Source organism: Homo sapiens, chromosome X (assembly GCF_000001405.40).
Source record: "Homo sapiens chromosome X, GRCh38.p14 Primary Assembly".
NCBI lineage: Eukaryota > Metazoa > Chordata > Mammalia > Primates > Hominidae > Homo > Homo sapiens.
The window spans coordinates 41,525,713-41,543,424 of NC_000023.11; the positions used below are offsets into that span (position 1 = coordinate 41,525,713).

A 17,712-nucleotide genomic window follows, 5' to 3' on the forward strand; every position below is an offset into this window, starting at 1 on the left:
GGCAGGTTCATCTACAGAGCACTCTACTCTCTTGGCTGAAGGGACTCTCTTAGCCTCTTTGTGTATACAGGCATGTAAGAGACAAATTTGACATGAAAGGTTCTTTCTTTTTTTAGTGCAAGGTTGGCTTTCACTAGGATTATATTTCTGAATTTTAGTCACACAGCATCTTCTTGTGGGTTGAGGGAGACTGGTACATTGTATTTATCCATCAAAGTTTTTTAACTCTTAAAGTCCTAGGCTCTGATTCTTCTGGTAAGAAAGCTCTTTAAGCTTGCATATGTTAATTTTTGAAAGAGGTAACTGGCAATTTCTTTGCCAATCCTTTTGTGGCTGAAGACTTAAGCCAGGAACAAACATTATGACAAAGTCCATATATAGCTCAAGCAAGCTAACAGGGATCTTCACTTAGAAATATCCTTTATGTCAGTATTATCTTAGGCCTTTTTTCCTTCCTTCCTATGCTCATAGATCAGGTGAATACAGGGTCAGCTGAGACAAGGTTTTCTCATCACCCCTACTCCCGGTCACACACATATACCCATCCCATAGCCTGCTTCTGGGCAACTGAGATGGGAAAGAATCCTATTTGCTTCTATCCCCAAAGCTACTCTAAGTGCTAGATGGAAGTCCACCCAGCCTGGATGCTGAACGGAACCCACAGATGAAGTAGAGAATGACACCCTGGGCATGAAATGGTTTTTTTCTGCACTCAGTGGCCCAGCCTGCCAGCTACCCAGTCCTTATCATGTTTTCCATTCCAGCTATCACATTACAACAGCAGAAAACAAACTGCTTGGAACATTAGTTTAGCTTCCTGCAGATTGCCCATCTCTGCACTGCATTCACACCCTTGGTCTATATCCATAGACTGCACTCACTGCATAAAACCATCAATGGTGGCCATGTTCCTCACATTGCCAAATGCCTCTTATGTCTACGAATCAGGTTATATTCCTTGATTTCCTTTTTTTTGCCCTGGTTGTCAGGAAGTTCAGAGCCAAATTTAATGTTTATCACAGTAACTAAAGTAGCCCTGTGGTTAGCATATTTGCTTTCTCCTCCTTTTTGTAGCTTTTTCTATTTCTATACTTTATTATTGTACTTTCAAAAATTCTAAGATGCCTCAAATCCTGATTGAGATTTTCCTGTCTAGTCAGCCTCATATTTTCAGCAGACTCACCACACATTTCCTCGCTTGTTCTTGAAGGTCTTTGGGCCATACTCTGCACTACTTACGGGTCTCAAGTGGGTGCCACTTTTGGTGCTGTGGTAGCCTGGCTGAGGTTCAGAGTTACTTCAGGGACAGGAAATGGAATTGCTCACAAGGATTCCCCTCTCTCAGGCAGTTAATAGGTGACTTAAAGATGAACTCTAAACCCTCTTCCTTTCTGACTCAGGATGAGGCACACATTTTTTAATGTTCATGGGCAAATATTTCTCTCCGAATCTCTCTGGGATTCGGAGAGAGAGACGGGGACAGAGAGAGAGACAGAGAGTGAGAGAGAGGGGGAGAGGCAGAGAGAGAGACAGAGAGAGAGAGAGAGTGTGTGTGTGTGTAGAGAGAGAGAGAGAAACAGGGACAGATATGGACAGGGAGAGAAAGAGCACGCTCTAGAAAGATCACTGAAAGCATGCTAGATTCAGATAGTCAAAGTAACATTAATCTAACATTTGTGGAGATAAATTGATTCTATGGCTTGGCTATGGCCAATAATTAATCTCAGGTTATTATCCTCAAGGAATAGAAACTCATTTGACCCAAGTGTATAAGAGGCAGATATCTATTCTGGTTTGCAAACTTAAAAGGCACACAGAGGCAAGCATCTGAGTCATTTTGTACAAAAATCTAAGGGTTTAGGAAGAGTGCAGTGACCCCAGAACCCATCTCAAGAGAGATAACTGATTTCACAAAATAGTCTCTGGTTCAGAACCTGGCTCTTGTTTTAAAGTATGGATTCCTAACAAGACTGTATGCTGCCTCTTGATGATGACCTCTTCCGCTGTGGGCAAAAGCAAAACTACAAATATTCTGCTACTATTAACTTTTTCATGCTACAAATGGATACATCAGAATAAAGTTAAAATCTAAAACCATCACATTAAGCTCTGATTACACACTGGGGCTATTACAGTTTCAGCTTTAGGGGCACAGATTATTTTCTGAGCCATAGCTTTATTTTCATGAGAAATAAATTCTACAGCTTTTCTTAGGTTTGACTGAATTACAGATTTTTCTGAATGTTAAGAAAAAATGAGGCTTTACATTGTACTACTATGGATAAGGTGAACCATCTTAAGGATTCCCAGGGTTACCTCTTCTAGGGTGGTACAGTGAAAGGAAGTGGGGATTTACTGTAAAAGAATAAAAATTTAAAAATCAACACAGTTCAACTTCACACCTCACTTTCAATTGGCTGTAAAGCCTTAATCGAGTCACAATTATGTTAAGCCTTGGTTTCTCCATCTACAAAACTAGATACTGATCTCCAGCTCATAGGGTTACAAGGATTAGGTAAGGAGTCATAACGCCTGGCAAAATATACAGCACTATAAGAACATAATCTATTACTATTTTATGAGAAGCTAGGTTATTAATTTCTTTCTAGTTTAATGTCTTTACCATCATCCTCTAGCTTTAAAGTTGGACCACAACATCTTATCATATAGTATTATTAGACGTGCTCAATTGGGCCTCAGTTGTCTGAAATAAGATGGCATAAAGTATTAGACCTGTACTAAAAGAGCTGGACATGTGTTAGGTGGTTTTCCTATGGTCCACATGTAGTTTGGCAGAAGTGAGAGGATTCTAAAAAATGCCACAAGGCCCTTCTGTTATGGACAGTTTTGGATGTACAATGAGGAAGGAATTTCATCCTCACCATCTTGTCTTCTGAATTGTATTCTTAGCTCCTGACCCTGTGCTTGACATATAATAAGGGCTTAATACAAGTTTGTTGGATTAAATTGTCTGTAAGATACAGTAGAGGGGTCATCTAAGAAGCTGGAGTGGGAAAGGGGGATGGAGAAAAATGTCCTAAGGAGAGAGCCTCCCTGGAGCAGTGAGGCTCTGCCTGAAAGCAAGTTGTTCATGGTCACGGGTATCCTGAAGGCAGGATGAAGGCCTTGTCCAGCTGAGGAGAGACTGGGCTGAGGGCAGAGAAGCCCGAGAGTGAAGCCCAGTCGGTGCAGACTGCGGGCATTCTCAGCTGTACTGTGGTATGCAATGGTCATTGTGAGACCAGGACTGGCATGAGGCTGGCCTGCGCAGGAGGGCCTGGGACCAGTGTAGTCAACCAGACCAACAGGAGGAGCAGGACCTGGGCAATCCCTATCCCCAGGGCCGCTGGCCCAAAGAGACTCAGGCAGCCAGGATGCCTATGGCCGGCCCTCAGGGCTAGGTGGATCTGAGAGATCACAGTTCTGAGAGGCAGGGACCCAGGAAGCAGGAGAGAAGAGTGCAGGTGAGCTCATCCAGCACTCAGGGGAGCAGAGGAGAGTGCCCAGCCGGGGTGAGGAGGTGCTTTGGGGCCAAGTGCAATGGGTAAAAGTAACTGCTGTGGGTGTCCTGAGGAGGCTGAGAGAAGTGTCTCCCACTCAGCAGTGCAGAGCAATGCATGGCTGTGCAAGGGCAAGGAGAAAGGGAGAGCTGGACGCTATGGGTGGAGCAGCAGCAGCAGCGGCAGCAGCAGCAGTGGCGGTGGCGGCGGCAGCAGCGGAGGCAGGTAAGGCAGAAAGCCCTCGAAAGTGGACTTAGGTAATGCAGAGGGAGTCTGAGGAGCCCTGCAGCCAGCATACTGCTAGAGACATTACTACCAGCAGAAAACGACGTTCAGGTGAAGACCAGTGTGGAACCCAAGGAGAGGATGTCGAAGACCAGGACCAGGATTGAGACTTTGCCTCTAGCCACCCCTGGCCAGAAGATTTTTCCAATCCCTAGTAAGGAGGGATTAGTAGTTAAACAAAAATCAATCTGTGGTACACATCATATATTTAGTTCTATATAGGTCCAAGTTAATTGTTAAGTAAACGGCAGTGTTCACCCTACTGCTGCTTTCCTCCCTAGCCCCTTGAACAGATCCTTTTGTGGTTTCCAAAGTTCCAAGTTCAAGAACCCCATCAGGTGTTGTAAACGGAAATGGGTGAACCCACTGGCCACGAATTAGGATCCTGGAGCCCAGAAACTGAGCTGTCAGGTCCCAGGTCACACAGACTCTGGCTATATAGGTTCTGTCCTTGCTTTAGGGATGGTTAGGGGACCAAGTCTCATACAGTGGCCCTTGAACAGGGATTCGCCCTGCCTAAGATAGCCAGGTAAGCCTCCTGATGAAACACAGCCTGCTTGAGGGAAGCTGGTCTACTATTTCAGCAGGTAGCATACTGGTTCTATTTCTAAGGGTTAAAGGAGATTTGGTACAGATCAGTCCTAGAAATGGCAGACCCAGGAGTCACATGGCACCCACAAGCCTCTCCTATAACCCACCTTGATGTCTACAACTCCCAAATCCTTCCTACTATACTTTGCCTCCCATATCTACTTGGTTTGTACTCAGAGATGAAAAAACAGCTTGTCAGCATTTTTGATGTAAAGCCTTCAGCTTTCTCTTTTTCAAGTTTAATAATTCCTACTGCAAGACATATCTAGAAACCATTTCATCATCTCTGTGTCTGGCTCTCTTTTGAGTCCTCTTCCAAGTCTTTATCTCTCTCCTAGTTTTTGCTCAGGGTCAGGCATTGTGCTCAGGTAAGGAAATGGCAGAGGCTGAGAGCCACCATGGGTTTCCATCCCTGCTGTCTCTGACATCTGGGCTCACTCATGCTTGCTTTCATAAAGCTAGTGCTGTGTTTCAGACCCAGGCCCCAGGATCAGTTTCTCACTGGAGATTAACATAATGTGCTGGTAGAGGCTCTGATGGTCCAGCGTGAGCTGTACCCAGAGAGGGAAGGTGGCTGTTGTGATAACAAAGTGCCAGAGCCTCATCCTGAGGTCAGATGATCGTAGGATTTCTGGCAGGCGTAGACACAATCAGGAACCTTACTGAGCTTCTGCATATAATAAACCTCTTAAGAGAATAATCTCTGCTTCTTAAATACATGGTGTGTGCACTGAGTCCAACGATTAGTCAGCTGGCATTCTAGACTGTGAACCCCCAACGCCTCCATTACTGATACTTTTCTGTGGTTTATGAAATTATTATGTGACCTGTGACTTTCTGATGGCATTTTTGATTTCAGAATCTGTGCTTATTGGCATGCAGGCAGGATGTCAGACATTCGGGGAGGCTGGGCATTACCTGAGGCTCCACGTCCAGTATTGCAATCAGCCCCTGCTCGTGGATCTTCCGGATGGTCTCCAGTTTTGTCCCATACATCGCATCCTCGTGGCTGCCGTACTCCAAGTACTCGTTATTAGAGATGTCTTGCATCATTTGGTCATGAGATACAAAGTAATAATTCTTTCCATTTTCTTCGTCTTTCTTTGGAGGTCTGGTTGTATCTGCAAAGTCGCATGGCACAAGAGGTTTAAAAGGCTGAGCTGATGAGCTTACTACACTCCCAACAGATTTACTCAAACCCAGTCTCTTCCTAAAAGCTGTGGATTCTTTAGCGTATATCTCATATCCCCTGTTCTCACCCCCAGTGGCTTTGCAGAACTAAATTCTAGAAACCATATTTATCTGTGTGCATCACACCATAGTAGCCAGTGAATTGTCTGGTTTGGTGAAACTTTCAGTGTTCAGGTGAGATGTATTTTATCCCTTCATGAACCACCACAGGAGGAAGACGTGAAATGACCCAAGATTAATATAACTCACTGTATGCCTTAATGCAGTTGGGTCTTGTGTAGAAGGAAAAAAGGAGAATAAAAAAATGGAAAACTGCATATGGTTAAATTTAAATAAGCCAAAATTAAATAAAATTCAAATTTTAGTTTCTCAGTCTCACTAGTGGCATTTCAAGGATTCAATAACCACGTATGGTTAGTGGCCACTGTACTGGACTGCACAGACATCAAGTACTGTCATTGTCACAGAAAGTTCTATTGAAAAGTGATGTTCTATAACATCTTGCAAAAGGAGAATGTTAGGATACAGCAAAAGACACGTTACACTGAAAACACAATGACTGTGGCCAGACATACCCATAATTATTATGGAAGACCTAAATCAGGAGGTGACAAACTGGCTTATGGGCCAAACATGGTCTACTGTCTTTTTTTATTTTTATTTTTTTATTTTGGAGACAGAGTCCCACTCTGTAGCCCAGGCTGGAGTGCAGTGGTGCGATCTCAGCTCACTGCAACTTCCACCTCCTGGGTTCAAGAGATTCTTGTGCCCTCAGCCTCCTGAGCAGCTGGGATTATAGGCGTGTACCACCATGCCCAGCTATTTTTTGTATTTCCAACAGAGACGGGGTTTCACCATGTTGGCCAGACTGGTCTCAAACTCCTGACCTCAGGTGATCTGCCCGCCTCAGTCTCCCAAAGTGCTGGGATTACAGGTGTGAGCCACTGCACCTGGCCACCTACTGTCTGTTTTTGTAAACAAAGTTTTACTGGAACACAGCCATGTGCTTTTGTTTACATATTGCCTATGGTTGTTTTCATGAGACAACAGCAGAGCTAAGTGCTTGTGATAGACTGTATGGCCTTAAAGCCTCAAATGTGTACTATCTGGTCCTTTACAGAAAAGGCTTGCCCACCCCTCACCTAAGTGAGTGTAACTGAAGTATATGCCAATAAGCTCTAGTTCTGTGGATACTAATAGGACCAGTATCCTGCAAAACACACTTTAGGAAATGTTTTTCTAGATGAGCCAGGAACACTGGTTTTAATATTCTCTCTCCCTACCCCCCTTTCTTTTCTCCCTTCCTTCCCTTTTTTTCCCTCTCTCTCTCAATTTCTTTGCTTCCTTCTTTCTTTGAGAAAGAACAAATTTATGCTACTCTCTTCTGTATACATGAGCCTAAACTAATGGGGAATCCCCCTTTCCTGCTAGCCTGTTTGTTAGAACATAAAGTGCTCGTGGTCATCAAAATGTGGACATTTTAAGAGAAGCCCTTTCTCTAGGCACATCAAAAGCTGAAGAACCGGCGTTACTATTTATTTATTTATTGAGACAGGGTCTCACTCTGTTGCCCAGGCTGGAGTGCAGTAGCAAGATCTCAGCTCACTGCAACTTCCAGCTCCCGGGTTCCAAGCGATTTTCATGCCTCAGCCACCCTAATAGCTGGGACTACAGGTGTGTGCCACCATGCCCGGCTAACTTTTGTATTTTTAGTAGAGATGGGGTTTCACCACATTGGCCAGGCTGGTCTCAAACTCCTGGTCTCATGTGATCCACCCATCTCGGCCTCCCAAAGTGCTGGGATTATAGGTGTGAGCCACCGCGCCCAGCCAAGAACTTACATAACATATTGATGTTGTACTATCTTCAGTCATCTCAGTAGTTAGATATATGTTATATACACATACAGGGTCAAATATTTCAAAGACTAGTCATGATTGACATCATCAAAGGTAAGTTTTAAAACCAAACTAGTTAACTGGCCATTTAATAACATGGAAGTTCAGTTGTTACGTGGTTAAGAAGAAGCTAAATGTTAGCTAAGCTTGCTGTACTCATGATCTAGACATAAGGAGAATTAAAAGAACACTTCAAAGTGTTTTACTAGAAAACCCCAGTAGTGCCAAATGAGACACTATTGGATACATTTCTTTTCTTGTGTAAATCAGACAAGGTTTTGGGATGAAGGTTTTCTCATGAAGCCTCCTGGCTCTCTGAGGTGTACAGATAACTGTAAGTGGTATTGACATTGCTTCAGGAAGGCATGTGAAGGCCCTATAGAATGGAGCCAATCTTCACATTTTCTCCTGTTGCTCTTAAAAAATAATTTTCCTTTAGCTCTTCCAACCCTGAGCTGCTAGAAAGCTTCTGGGGTTAAAATTTTATTTATTTTTTTTTGAGACGGAGTTTCACTCTTGTTGCCCAGGCTGGAGTGCAATGGCACGATCTCGGCTCACCACAACCTCCACCTCCGGATTCAACTGATTCTCCTGCTTCAGCCTGCTGAGTAGCTGGGATTACAGGCATGCACCACTATGCCTAGCTAATTTTGTATTTTTAGTAGAGACGGGGTTTCTCCATGTTGGTCAGGCTGGTCTCAAACTCCCGACCTCAGGTGATTCGCCCACCTCAGCCTCCCAAAGTGCTGGAATTACAGGCATGAGCCACCGCGCCTGGCCTAAAATTTTAAACTTTAGAATAATGATGATAATAATGAAATGATAGTGGTAGATAGCTTCTACTTATCCACCATCTGCTAAGTGCTTCATACACATGATCTCAAATCCTCTCTGCAATCCTGAATTACTTCATTTTACAATTGAGAAAATGAAGAGGGCAAGAGGTTAAGAATAAGATACGGAAAATAAGGAGAATTAAAAATCTTACAGATTTGAAAATCTTTACAGAAACAACTGTTAGCATATTGATTGGGTTTAAAAAGTGGTAAGAAATCAACAATTTAAATATTAACTAAGGGAAAAAAATTGTCATATCAGAAACTGTACAACTATGAAAACTTATTTTTCTGAAGAATAATTCATCTAGGTAATGTGTATGACATATTGTTAGAAAAATTGTTACAAACAGAATGGATAAAACTAATTTTATTTAAAACACACACACACACACACACACACACACACACACACACACACTTTATACACATATCTGTACTAAGACAAGCCTAGAAGGGTATACAACAGAGAAGCCTAGAAGGGTATACAACAAAATATTTATAGCACTTATTATAGGGAAAGAGGGGTTGGGATTACTGTTAACTCATTTTCCTCCTTGTTCTTTTTTTGATTTTACAAATTTCCTACAATGAACAGTTATACCTTATGTAATCAGAAAAAAATACATAAATTATAGAGTTAAAAAAGTGATAGGAAAAATATAATGAAAAGAGATTGAGACATTGCTTACGTGGAATAGGGTACGCAAACCGGTCTGGGTGCTTTGTGATGAGAGTGTTTTTTATGTGTCTTCTCCCAACACCATGTGCGCCTATGTCATTTAGAAAAAAAGAATGTTAAAACTGACAACTCTTAATAATGTTCACAAAATGTTTTGAAAGTGAGAATAAGCAACTCACTTACACAATCAAACTTACCTAATAAGACTAGTGTTTTCCTCTTGAATGCTGGCAGTTTTACTACTTCTTCATATGTGACAAGATCTAATTGATCAAACACTAAAACGCAAAGATTTAGAAGAAAGGTAAATTTGTAGAATGACTATTTCATGTACATAAATTATAATTTTACTGGCAAAACTACAGTTATATTAAAACCATGTCTTAAAAATATGAATCCAACTTATGATATATGGCTTACATGTAATTTAAGTCATATAGCATCTAGGGAGAAATTTTCATTTTTAAGCCCATGAAAATGCTCTTTAGAACCAGGGGCATCCAAAGATGCTGAACACATGCATTAAAATGTCCAAATCTAAAAGATACTACATATCTTTTCATGTAGTATCCAACAAATCATATGAATTAATTTGAAACCACATGCTGTTCATATTTTTCCAATTCTAAGAAGTCAGCAATACTAAAAAGAAAAAGTCTACAGACAGTGACCAACATGAATATAGCATGAATGCAACTAAAGTTAACCAGGAGAGGGGCCAGCTAGATCATTTCTAGAGATGGATGAGAAATGCATGGACAGCTGGTCTTTAACTTCATGGTTCTTTCTTTCAACAGAGTTGATGAAGGTGGCATGCTAGATTCTAAGGCAAGTTCTGTAACTATTGCACAAGCTTATCAATGAGCATCTCACAAGCTTTACTGTAACCCAGATATCCACTCAATGGAAAGTCTTGAATATGTAAGGAGAGTTACATGCTTTCCTGGGCCTGAAAACTTGTCGCCCATTACATGGGCAGCCTGTGTATGGTGGATCAGGATGGAAAGAATCATGAAGCAGAGTCTGAGCTCAGAAACCTTTGCAAAAGTGGAGTTCTCTAATCACTACAGACTGAGGAGAAATACTTTAACAAATATTTTTCTGAAACCTGCCTCTTAACACTATGATAAAAGCAATTTCAAGCAATGTACAAAACTTTCCTGAGCAGATGCCCATTCCTGTTGAAATTCAACATGGTCCAATTCTCACACACATTTGGAAATTCTCACAAAGGGCTAAAATTGTATGTCTGTGTTTCCTGTAATATTTTTTGTATGGTCATACCCAAATGCTGTCAGTTACATACTGACATTTCTTTTTTTAAAGAATATTGAATAAACCCTGGATTTTAGAGGGGTTAAAATAAATTCAGTAAAATTGATTTGATGATGTAATAAAGGAATCTGGGCTGCTTTATTATTTATTTATTTATTTATTTATGAGATGGACTCTCGCTGTGCCACCCAGGCTGGAGTGCAGTGGCGCGATCTCGGCTCACTGCAACCTCTGCCTCCCAGGTTCAAGCGATTCTCCTGCCTCAGCTTCCTGAGTTACAGGCACCTGCCATTACGCCCAGACAATTTTTGTATTTTTGTTGAGATGGGGTTTCACCATGTTGGCCAGGCTGGTCTTGAACTCCTGACCTCAGGTGATTCACTGGCCTTGGCCTCCCGAAGTGTTGGGATTACAGGTGTGAGCCATCGTGCCCGGCCGAAATCTGCATTACTTTAGCCAATCATTTATTAAGAGAACCTTCTACTCCTAGAAACACTATGGCCAAATGACTGTGAATATCACCTTAGTTCTTAACATTAGTGATTTGCCCAATCACTTAAAATGCAAAATAAGATACTTGGGAATAGAATAGAACAGAAACAAACAAACAAAAAGCACCATTATCACAATATATAAAAAAAGAAACACGATATATTAAAATAGAGGTTAGTGTATATTAATGGGTTTTTGCACATTTGTTTTCTTTTGATAACTTGATTTATAAAGGTTGATTGAAAGTCTTTAAAGCATATCCTCTAGCAATAGCTAAAAACCAAGAAATGTTTTCTGTGTTCAGAATGGCAGACTCACAAAATTAAAATGAACATGAGGCTCTCTGTGGTAGGGCTAGTTAGTTATACTGCAGTAGTAATGGAGTGATGAGAGTTGCAAAAATAAAAGCAGGAGTGCTGATGGCATTATTTTTTAGACCTATTGCCCTCTGAGTGATATTTCCATCAAGAAAAAGTATGCTTACAGAAGAAGTGCATTGACAAGCAGATATGTTTTAATATATTTTAATAAAAATAAGCAAGCATCTCACAAAAGAGCAAGATGATGATGATGACACAAGCTTTCCGAATGGTATATACACACACCTATCCCTCTATAGAGCCCTAACTGTGATCCTACCAAATTAAGACTTGTCATTTTTTTAAAAAACACATAAGAATGAGTTAGATGTCAACCATCAAAACCACAAACAGACATGTTATGAAAATGAAATGAAACAGATATGTTAAACATCAATATCTTAACCATAAATGAGCAGCATGAAGAGGTTACTCTGGTCTAAATGAAATTGCCACACGGTCATAGGGTTGAGAAACAATAAAAAAAGGGTATTTTAAAATAAGAGATACAAATAATATTAGGAAAGCACTTAAAGAATGAGCTTTTAAAGGTTTTAAGTTGCTTGCTGATTAAAAAAAGGACTTAATAAAAGAAAACCACCAAAAACACAGAGGCATAGTCATTCAACAGGTTACTTACATGCACAGAGGCCATTGGGAGTGAGACAGCATGAAAAATGTACAGGGGTCATTGAAATATGGCTTTTCATATATTAGTAAAATAAAAGTATAATATGTATAAAATAAACTTTATCATGCAATATTCTAAACACAAGGCAAATAAATCACATTAAGAAACAAACTCATTTTAATAGAAATTCGACAATATCCTTATATAAAAGCCAGCGGATTTTATATACTAGCATATGCATAGACATTTTATCGAGAATAGTTACAAGAAAACCTCTTCAGAGAGTGTAGACGTGGAAGCCTTTTGCTTTTCACTTTGTACCTTCCTGTACCATGTGTAATTTCTAACCATGTGTGCCTATTACTTTTATTATTATTATTATTATTATTATTATTATTATTATTATTGAGACAGGGTCTCGCTCCTTCACCCAGGCTGGAGTGCAGTGGTGGGATCTTGGCTCACTGCAGCCTCCGCGGACCTCCCGGGTTCAAGTGATTCTCCTGCCTCAGCCTCCCAAGTAGCTGGGATTACAGGCGTGTGCCACCACACCCAGCTAATTTTTGTATTTTTAGTAGAGATGGGGTTTTGCCATGTTGGCCAGGCTGGTCTCGAACTCCTGGCCTCAAGTGATCTGCCCACCTCGGCCTCCCAAGGTGCTGGGATTACAGGCATGAGCCGCTGCGCACAGCCTATTATTATTTTTAATGCCAACAGGGCAGTGAGTTTATGGGCTACTTTTTGTTTCCTTTAGAGTTGCTTGTATTCCAGAAAAAAAAGAATAGCTTTTAAAGTCAATAGTACTAATTTGTGGTATTAAGCATAATTTAAGCACACCTATGAATGGTACTGTAGAAATCCCCTATGTTCAAATATGTGTATGTAAATAGAGTATTTCGGGGCTCTAACATTTAAGAAACCAAATTAATGAAGACTTCCTACATTTTTAAAAAGTTTACACTAGTAACTTGATCTAAAATGACTTTTGGAAGTCCTGGGGGCTGAGGAATCTCAATGCCTCTAGAGTTCAGTTGTTCCAGCCACACCACAATGCTTTTTGTACCAAGTATACATGGCTAGAAACCTTCTGTATGTTACAGAAAATGTATTTGCTGTAAAAGCTACACACACCATAATCAAATCTATTCCCAAGGATTCAGAAATACTGTCTAGCATAGTTTGCTCATATTACCCTGATTTTCTGCTAAACTACTCAACATTCCAGACACTTCTTTTAAGTATTTATGTAACTACTTTCCAGGTTGAATTTTTTCCATAAAAAAGCCATTAACATTGAATCCTTGTCTCAGCTGGAAACACTATCAAGATCTTCAAATACTATAAAGACCTCCAATTCAAAAGAGCATTGCACACTGGTAGCATTGGGTTAAGGAGTACATACTTGAATGCCCGCAGGGGTCAGGTAGCTAATGTGGTTGAATGAAGTGGGCCAGGTGCAAAAACAGGGAGTGGTGCGGACAGTGTGTGCTGGAGAATGAGCGTCCATTCAAAGGCCATATTAACCACCCAGAGTTACTAAAAGAGAAAGTGGACCTGGTATTGCTGCATTCCTTGTTCTTCTAAGGGAACTCTGAAACCCAAATTTTTATGTTAAATATCCTGACTTTCACACGTGATGACTTATTAAAACTTAAACACTGTGTGTGTGGGAGTTAGAGGGACAAAATTTACTTATGGGTCAAATTCAGCGAATAGGCTGTCACTTTATGATGGGAGTTGTAGGTAACACAGTTTGAACAGAATTCCACTTTAACAAGCTATGTAGAATTTCCTAACGACAAAAATGGAAATAATTCTAGTATTATCATTCCCACCAGTTCTAGATAATGACAAAATTCCCAACCTTCATTTGTACCACAAATACAAATAATGTCAGAACTTGATAAGGTTTGGATCTTGCCATCAATATATGATGAATTCTCAAAGATTTGAAGCAGGAAACAAAACATACAGCCCTTATTTTAATTTACTGAGTAGTAACAGAAGAACAGAGTACTGTATTTTACCATCAACTTCTAAAAAAGCCAGAAAAATCCTTTTGAGATATTGTTTGATCTGTGGCCCATGAGCCCATCTGGTTTGGTATGAAAGGCTATGATATTTCTAAGTTCTCAAAGCAACTGCCTCACCAATGGAAGTCAAGAGTATTTGTTTCTCACTCTTTTAGAGCAATTCTTTATAAGGACACTTCTGTATATTGGGATGACCTTTCATCGTAGCTAAAAGCAGAACAGCTGATTAAATACTTGACCCTATGATCTCTTGTAAAGCAAAGGTAATACTAAGCAAATGGTTCTTCTGGACTTTCTAATGAACAAAATGGAAGAGTTGGTTGATGACACAGAAGAAACCTGAAGAGATGGTGACAGAAAGGAATGCTAGGCTTTGCAGGCAGTGTATTTCAGAAAGTCAAGGAAAAAAGCTGGGAATCTTCTCCCAAAAAGAGAAACTAAAAAGAGAGCTCACAGTGATTATTTTGCAGGTGAGGGAAGCCTAACAATGATATCCTGACTAGAGAATCACAAATAGGCCTAAACACAAAGTTCTACAAAGACACTTAAGGGGCTCTGCAAGGACCATCTAAGAAGCTCAGACTTTCTTTCAAAGGAGGGCCTTATACACAGTGACACACACTGACATGTAGAACAACCCCTTAAGCATGGCAAGGAAGGTTCTGATGCCCAGACGGCCGCTGGTTAGGAAAATACTGATGATACCAAACAGGTGGTGGCAGTAGGCTCCCCTGTCCTCTCAACCCCTCCTTTCTTCATTCTAAGTTGACAAGAACTTAAGAGAGGTCAATGGTTTGGGATAGGAGGTAAATGTCAAAAGACAGAGGAAAAAGCAATTCTGTTCTACCCCTATTAGGCTCCTGCCTTCTATGTCAAGGGTGATAGCTTTCAACCTGGATAGGCAATGTCTACCAGAGAGCAAGAGCCTGAGATAGACAGTACAAGAATACTTGGCTTCATTGAATGATCGCCATTTGTCAGGCCCAGTGATGAAAGAACCTGAGACCCACTGATCTTTAGAATTAGAAAAGATCTCCTTGATTGACTAACCTAATTCCCTCATTTCAAGGCCCGTAGGAGCGAAGTGATTTGCCCAAATTGCACGGTTACTCAGGTGTGCTAATTCCTGGTCCTATCTCCAGCTGCCTATTAAGCTTACAGGTGTGTTTGCAGGACCACTGTGCACCATCTAACGGGAATCAGAGAATGGGAGCAATGGAAGAAGATCAGTGATACCCTGGTGGTGAAAGAGTGGAAAAAGTGAAAACACTGGCTGCCAGATCGGATGCTGATTCTCTGGCAAAATTCTTAAATTAATGATTAAATTGACTCTTTGACAGCATTTAGAGAATTCTAGTTTTTCAATGAATTTCTTACTTTCCTCAGAGCTGAATTAAAGAATACTGGCAAACTGAATACTCATGTTTACATGACCTCTATTAGTACAGCATAAATCTAATGATAAACTGACAGCCTGAACCAGCCATTTCTTTGCTTTTCTAGGTGTAAGTTAATTTCAATCCCATCTATATCTATGTATCATTTAACACTGCTGTACAAATTACAAGGTGAGATGCATACATTTCTCAATTTATATGTCAACACATCTCCTTGTGAGCCTATTAGATTGTGTTAGACTGTTAGAAGCTGACAGAAGTAAGGGCAACTAAGGAGACTTGGTAATAACCACTGACGTTTTGTGTGAAGCAACATTCTGCTGATACTGCTGTGCATTTCTATTTAGTTTATTTTTATTTTGTATAGACAGGGTATTGCTGTTGCCCAGGCTGGCCTCGAACTCCTGGGCTCAAGCAATCTTCCTGCCTCAGCCTCCTAAGTAGCTGGGATTACAGGCACCACCACCGTGCCTGGCTCTGCAGTGCATTTCTTCAAATAGTATACTTGAGCATTTGCTTAACAGTTGCTACATTTTGTGTAACTAGTCTGCTTTATTTCTTCCCTTCATAAAACCAAAAAAGCCATTATGAAACTACTGCTCTGTAGTAGTACATAACCAGAAATTACACTGTTTTTGGAAATAAAAATGTGGTACAATGTAACTAATGCGAAGGGAATGATTCCTTATTTAACTGAGCCATTTAAACTTAACCCATGTGGCCACTCACATTCATTCCACATTATACAGCAGTTTGAAATGTTTACTTTTAATCTCTGATTGAGAAATGAACAATTCAGAGTACGTTATAACATTTACAGAGAAAAATGCATTTCATACTTGTCAGAAACATTATGCCATCAATCTGGGTATGCATGACTAGATTCACTTGATTTTTTGGGCCACATTTCTAATTTTTGGAGTTATTTCTGAAACCTTGGGAACTAACCTAATGCCAGTCAGGACTTTCAATTCCTCAGAAAAAGTTCCTTATAAAAGGAGTTGTATTAAGAAGTTATTGAAAATAACTTCTTGTATTAGCACTCCTGTGTATCACCATGCATTTTCTTTAGCTTAAGTTGCACCCTGTGAATCTTCTGGGGATTCTATTGCAACAACAGATCATGCCTTTTTGGTATTAATTCCAGTTTTCAACAAGACAAGTGAACATTTTGACTTAAGTTGAATACAAACTTCCATATGGGCAAACATACATACTATAAAGGGAAGGCCAAGATAAGATTCTTGCTCTTGTGGTAGCTTGGAAATACCATGAGGGAAGAAGACGACTCACAGAAATGGACAAAACCAAGTTAGTGTCCATGTCATTTGTACTCTCTCAAACCAACCACAGAACCATTTGTGGCACAGTTCTCTGATAAGAGCACACCTCTACCCTCAGATGTTTATCTCAGGGCCACGCCCAAGGGCCAGGCAGGAGCCAGGCGGGAGGAGATCTGTTCAAGACCAATCCCAGCCAAGGATAGATAAGAATCCTGGCTACTCAGCAAACTCTCAAGCTTTCATTTCTCAGGGGAGGACTTAACGTGTTGGATTCTTTTCATTCCAGAGGATACTATTTCAAAATAACATTTTTGTCCTATAAAGTATAGCTCTGTAAAATATCTAGCAAATAATCAACATATTAATTGGAGGTAGGGGTTTCTTAAAGGTTTTGAAAGTTGATGAAGATCTCATATGGTAGAATTTTTTGGATAGAGAACACTGAAGACTGAATTAAAATATTACATCTTTTTAGGTCTTGGAGATGCTTAACCCAGCCTCAGTAACAGTTGTGCTTTTCCCTACCTGCATTGTGCTTTGCCAAATATTTATCTTTGTACTGCTTCTTTTTCTTGCCAAACCAAGTACAGCTGGCCTGCTGCTCCTGTTTGGTCTTCTCCATGGCAATGCAAGCTACTCGCCTAGCACATACAAAAAGAAAAATAAAATAAAATGAATTTATAATTCTGGTTGATAAAATAGAAGAGTCATCCATTTGAAGAATTTATATAAAACAGCATAACCATACTCATCCTAATCTTTTAAAAAATTTGGACAAAGGCTATTCTTTGGTTTTCATGACAATTTCCTAGAAATGTTTTTAAAATATAGGCTTATATTAAAATGGCATGGTATTCCTTGAACATATACTGACAACTCAGATTAGATGCCTAAACATGTGGCCATGAGATACAGTAGAATGTTTCAACACAGGCCTGGTTTGAATTCTGGCTTTGTCACTTGTTAGCTGGTACTGAGCACTTAATGTTAGACACTTTCCTAGGAACTTTACATGTATTAACTCCTTTAATCTTTCTAACAACACAGGGAATTGCATCACCATTTTACAGATGAGGGGATTGAAAGAATGAAAGGTTAAGCAATTTGCCCCAAATCACACAGCTAATAAGTGAAAGAGTGGGGAAGGTCTGGCACCAGAGCTCATGATCTTAGCCAGAATATTCTATCCGCAGTGTCTTTAAACTTTTGGAGCCTTTTGGATGGCTATTGTAAAGGTTTAGAACAAAAAATGTAAATAA

At 40.2% G+C, this 17,712-nt stretch overlaps 1 protein-coding gene across 12 annotated transcripts in view; it reads right to left on the minus strand.

Annotated features, from left to right (window-relative positions):
* CASK (calcium/calmodulin dependent serine protein kinase) overlaps positions 1–17,712 on the minus strand; it is a 408,621-nt gene that overhangs the window by 10,779 nt on the left and 380,130 nt on the right. For 10 of the 12 annotated variants that reach the window (NM_001126055.3, NM_001410745.1, NM_001367721.1 and 7 more), the window contains 4 exons: positions 16,979–17,094; positions 9,181–9,261; positions 8,994–9,074; positions 5,295–5,497 (listed from right to left, as the gene is read on the minus strand). In NM_001126055.3, the coding sequence (NP_001119527.1) occupies positions 5,295–5,497; positions 8,994–9,074; positions 9,181–9,261; positions 16,979–17,094 (481 nt within the window). The remainder of the gene's footprint in view (positions 1–5,294; positions 5,498–8,993; positions 9,075–9,180; positions 9,262–16,978; positions 17,095–17,712) is intronic. The other 2 variants (NM_001126054.3, NM_003688.4) reach the window with 1 other exon arrangement.